Genomic DNA, 5910 nt, shown 5'->3' on the forward strand with positions numbered 1-5910 from the left:
AATTAAGCCTTCAGCTCCCTACCAACCCCCACATCCCAATGCCTCAGGGTTATAATTTAGGCCAGCTGTGCTCTAGTCTATACTTCCCTAGACCATCTCCCCATTAGATTCAGCTGTCCTCATCCTTCCTACCACCAGAGTGATCAAAACCTGAGGATGGGCCTCAGACAAAAAGACAAAGGAAGCCAGATTTTAGTCCAGTTCTTGAACTCCTCAGGATGCAAAGAGAATGCTGTGACACATACATGGTGAAGCCAGCTCGTCCAGGCTATGAGTTCTATGTGGGGCTTTTAGCCAATACTCTGTAGTAATAAATAGCATGCAATTGTCTGACCTTGTCTTCATGCATTTTCACCTCAAAACCAGTAGTGGTGAACTGGGACTGAGTGAGGAGTCTGGTTTTCAGGATCTCACCCATGTCCATCTCCATGTTAAAGATACAAAGATCAACGACCCATGGTCCTTCCCTTCCTTCGAGGAGCATACAATCTAGTGGAGACATAGATTTCTGACAAGTAGTCAGAAAAAAGGTAGTCTGTGCCCTGGGAACACAAAAGAGGTCATGATGGATGTCAGTGAAAACATTAGAAGAGGTTTTACAGGCCTTGAAGGATGAATCGGATTCTGATGGCAAGGAAGGGAAGTGCAGTCCAGGTCAAGGGAACACGTGAGTAGAGACTATGACGCATGAAAGGGTGTGCAGTTTCGACTCAGACGGATATCAATGGTTGACACACTGGGTGCAGGAAAGGCTCCATGTTACATGACTCGGCTTTTGTCCTTTAACAAGTAAGCAGATACTATAGGTTTGGAGTATTTATTTTCTGAAAACTTCCCTACCTCTCCCTTGAACTCTGGACTAGCAAATCCAGCTCATGGGCTTGGCATGCCTGTACTTGTCGTGGTCACACATATCTCAAACTTAATGTGTCCAAACCAAACTCTTCCTTTTCTCTCCAAATCTACTCTTCTTGAAGTCTTCCCCACCTTTCTGCTGCTTGAGCCAGAAACCTAGGAGTCAGGTTATATTCCTTTCTTTCTGTCACACTCCATAGCCAATTCATCAGCAAATTCTAATAGCTTTACCCTGAAAATATATGCTGAATCCAACCACTTTCTACCACCATCCCTATGGTTACCACCTTGGTCCAATCACTATTATCTATTGCCTGATGTATGTTTGTTTGTTTGTTTGTTTGTTTTTCAGATGGAGTCTTGCTCTGTCACCCAGGCTGAAGTGCAGTGGTGCGATCTTGGCTCACTGCAGCCTCCGCCTCCTGAGTTCAAGCGATTCTCCTGCCTCAGCCTTCTGAGTAGCTGGGATTACAGGTGGCCACAATCACACCCAGCTAATTTTTTGTATTTTTAGTAGAGATGGGATTTCACCATGTTGGCCAGGCTGGTCTTGAACTCCTGACCTCGTGATTCACCCGCCTCGGCCTCCCAAAGTGCTGGGATTACAGGTGTGAGTTACCCTGCCCAGCCTGAGTTATTACAAGAGCTTCTTGTCTGCCACCCAGAGTCTAACCTCTACTCAGAAGCCAGAGTGATCCTTGAAAAATGTAAGTTAAATCATGTCACAGTCACTTCTCTGCTCAAAACCCTTCAGTGGCTTCCCCTAACTCAGAGTAATGGCCAAAGTCCTTACCTTGGCCTCTGTGTCCAACAAGACCTGTCCCTACCATCCTCTCTGAGCTCTTCTCCTACCACTCCCTCCTCCTGCCTCACCCCCACATGCTGGCCTCCTTGCTCTTACTCATTCACCAAGCATGCTCTGCCTCAGGGCCTTTACACGCGCTGCTCCCTTGGCCTGGCTCGTTGCTCTCAGGTACCTGCACACCTCACTCTGTCACTCCAGCCAGGGCTCTACTCAATCACCTCCTTGTCAAAGAGACCATTCCCTGACCTTCACATGTGAAAAACAAATTCCTACAGCAATCACTCTTTTCCCCTTACCTTGCTGTATTTTTCTTTGTAACATTTATTGCCACCTGATGTATTATACTTTGTTTTTCACATATCTCCTTCCACTAGAATGTAAGCTCTATGACAGCAAAGACTGTTGTATTCACAGATGTATCTCTGTGACTAGCATGGTGGCTGGCACATAGTAAGTGCTCAATAAATATGTATGGTGAATAAGCACAGAAGTATACACAGTGCTATTTTGTAATGTCTAGATCAAGAAGGTGCATGTCTAGAGTCAGAGACACCATCAAAGACCACCAAAGAGGTTCTTATAATGATTCAAGACAGTCATGGATGAAGTCCAGAGCTAGGGCAGATCCGGGGCTTGCATATGTTTATATACACACTTACGTTATTGGAAGCATAAATAAATAGTGGGTCTCTGGTCATGTCTAGTAGCTTCAAGTCACAGCAAACCCAACTCAAAGGGACTAGAACATTAACGCAGTTCTTTGTGTCCACCAATAAGCATAGAGAGAAAGGTTCCAGAGACGGCTAATTTAGCAGCTCACTGATAACACTGTGGACCCAGTTTTTTCCATCTTTCTGTTCAGACATTCTCAGCATTTTTTGTTTTGTCCTCAGACCTGTCCCCTTATGGTCACAAGGCAGCTATGGTGGCTTCAAGCATTACATCCTCAACTAGCAATCCCCATCATCCAGAGACTATTTAAGAGAGAGCATTCCTTTCCCAGCACCACTTTAAGAGTGAGGGGAGCTCTCCAGAAATCACAGAGCAGATTTCTCCTTCCATACCATTGGCAGAGTTTAATCCCATGCCCATTCCTAACCAGTGCCTGGCAAGGGAATGGGAAAGCTGTGACAATCTTGGCTTAATCAAGATTTATACAAGGGCTGGGAAGGACCACTGTCCCCTGAAACCAGTGTCTTAGGATGCCTGAGCCAAATTAGGGTTCTGTTAGGAAGGAAGAGGGGAAGAAGAGCTATTGTCTGTTTGTGACAGAATGAATAACAGCCTGGGAGACATCTAGTTCCTCCTCCCTGGGGCCTACAAATGTTGCCTTATGTGGCAAAAGGACTTTACAGATGTGATTGAATCAAGGATCTTGAGATGGGGAGATAAACCTGGATTATCCAGGCACAGCCAATGTAATCAAAAGCCTTCTTAAAAGAGGGAAACAGAGGGAAATTTGAAAGGGAAGAGAAGAAGGCCATGTGATGAAGGAAGTGGCGATTGGAGTGGTGCGGCCACGAGCCACCAGAAGGTGGAGGAAGCAGGGAACAGTTTCTCCCCTGGAGCCTCCAGTAGGAACCAGCACTGCAGACACCTGGATCTTACTCCTGCAGGCCTCATTTCAGACTTCTGGCCTCCAGAACTGTAAGGTGATAAAGGCATGTTGCATGAAATCACTAAGTGTGGCAATTTGTTACAGCAGCCATAGGAAACTGATACAGCTGGGGAACCAATGATGTCCATCACAAGTAGAAAAGCATTGGAAAAGGCCTATTAGATATTAGGAAGACTTTCACTCAACTTTTAATAAACAGGGGCTTTAATAAAAATTCATCACAGCATACTATGCAGCCATAAAAAATGATGAATTCATGTCCTTTGTAGGGACATGGATGAAATTGGAAATCATCATTCTCAGTAAACTATCACAAGGACAAAAAACCAAACACCGCATGTTCTCACTCATAGGTGGGAATTGAACAATGAGAACACATGGACACAGGAAGGGGAACGTCACACTCTGGGGACTGTTGTGGGGTGGGGGGAGGGGGGAGGGATAGCATTAGGAGATATACCTAATGCTAAATGACGAGTTAATGGGTGCAGCACACCAGCATGGCACATGTGTACATATGTAACTAACCTGCACATTGTGCACATGTACCCTAAAACTTAAAGTATAATAATAATAAAATTTTTAAAAAAGTGAAAAAAACAAAAAAAAAAATTCATCACAGCCCCGCCTGCTTCTGGCTTCTTCCATAGCAAGATGTTGGAGGCTGAGGCCAGCCCTGGGCCAGTTCTCTTCCACTTTGCTTGGCCTCTTATACAGCAGTAGCTTTAGGAAATACTATTTTCAGACCTGACATAGAGAAATCATCTTATTTTTTAAGAGCATTTGCTTCCCTAGCTTTTTCTTTTTTTATTTTTTCCCCAGTGGGAGGAGGAGAAAGAGAAGACTTCATGCCCTGAAGTAGAGATAATTACCTTCCAGATTTTAAAACTGCATTCCCACTGCTTATGCCATTCTGATCAAAGTCAATCATGAATTAAGAACAAACTGGGGCCCTCTATTCACTATTTCCTTAAATAATCTTTCTTCGTCTCCTCTTTGAGGAAAAAAAAATTTAATCCAAATACTATAAACCATAATGATCATGTTTCACGTTTATATTCTCAAAGAACATCAGCATCATTAGGCAGTTAATGCATCTGCCACTTCTCTTGGTGAGGCAGGTCAGTACCGTTCTTCTCTCTGAGCAACAGCCATCCAGGTGCCATGAGATTCAGCCCTCACTCATCAACTTGTCATCCATCAGTCACAGAGTCAGGGCTGGAAACCAGGTCGGCAGAACCTCAGATCTTTCCAACATACATAGGACCAGTAAGGGCCAACGGCCTCCAGAGAAGATTGAGTTAAAAAAGAAAAAGCTTATCAATTAATAACAGGATTTAAGTGGATTGTTCCCATTCTTTAGGAGAGATAAGATTTGTGACTAATAAACAGAAAACAGAAAACAATGTAAAATCCAACAGCTACGTTGTATGGCACAGACAATAGAGCTGCAGCAATTCAGAGAAAGGAGAGGTGATTGAGGAGGTGTGTCCCCGTGGAGTTCTCTTTTTCCCATGGTTTATATCAACTAGAATTGTCATTCTCAGAGAGGTGCTCTGTATTACACAGAACACATATACGTTCTACCTAAAGACAAAACAGCGACTACATCCACAGCAAAAGAGAGCACATTAGACACTGGTAAATCGGGCCTCTGTGCCCCTGTTATTGACTGACCTGGATTTAAGAAATCTCCTATGTCTTAGTTATGGCATTGCTACAAGCCTGTGACCCAGCCTGGATCCCTGCTCTGAAGAGACAACGCAGAAAGGAACTTGTATGACTTGAAGCATCTTATCATTTGCTGAAATGTGCTACTTCTTTTAAGGAGCCCAGTGTCTCACTTAAGGCCAACAGGGGATGTCAGTGAATTTTTTTCAGATAAGACAGAGATGAATTAAGTCAGTGGTTCCAGACTTTGGGATTTTATAGACCCACGAAACATCCTCTCCTCTCCCTCTCAAAAAAATGTGAGTGATTCAGGAACCTGTAAAAAAAATTAGGAATTTGTTATTTTACCAAATAAAGGGACTTGAGAGAGAAGAAAAGCAGCAGCTATTATCTACTATTACCTCATTTTATTTTTAAAGAAGAAACTTTAACACCAAATAGAGTAAAAGGACCTAATCTCAGAATTCTAACAGATAATACATTTGGCTTAACGAAAAGCTCACTCTATTTTTTTTTTCATCTCATTGCAGACGGGTGAAAATTTTGCAGTGTTCTGGCACCAACTGCATACCTGCATTTGGAAACCACCGGGGTGAATGCTTCCTGAGGTCTCTTACAGCCCTTATTTTATAAGATCCCATTTGCCATTTTACCTTTTCATACAAATTCAAGGAAAGCCATGCCACATATCTATCTTGTTCCTTCAAGCCACAGTGACAGACTGTGCCTGCAGAGGACAGTTCCTGAGGGAACACTTTTATACATTCACCTATCTACTCATTCATTCATTCATTCATCATTTAATAAGTACCTATTGACTATCAAGGACTATATTGGGAAATGGAGACGCAAAAAGGAATTTCCAAGCCCTACTGACACACAAATCATGAAACAAGGAGACAAAGTTGCAGGAAAACCTACAAAAGCGGTGCCGGAGCCCATCCAGCTATGATGATCAGAA

General features: G+C 43.3%; 1 annotated feature.

Annotated features, from left to right (window-relative positions):
• Positions 568-1767: an enhancer, noted in NCBI's record as "P300/CBP strongly-dependent group 1 enhancer chr1:177883789-177884988 (GRCh37/hg19 assembly coordinates)". NCBI's record gives its function as "activates an origin of replication core promoter dependent on BRD2, BRD4, P300/CBP, MED14 and CDK7 cofactors, with strong dependence on P300/CBP, by STARR-seq in HCT116 cells {active_cell/tissue: HCT116}" and the evidence as "EXISTENCE:reporter gene assay evidence [ECO:0000049][PMID:35650434]".

This window comes from Homo sapiens, chromosome 1 (genome assembly GCF_000001405.40).
Source record: "Homo sapiens chromosome 1, GRCh38.p14 Primary Assembly".
NCBI classification, from domain to species: domain Eukaryota; kingdom Metazoa; phylum Chordata; class Mammalia; order Primates; family Hominidae; genus Homo; species Homo sapiens.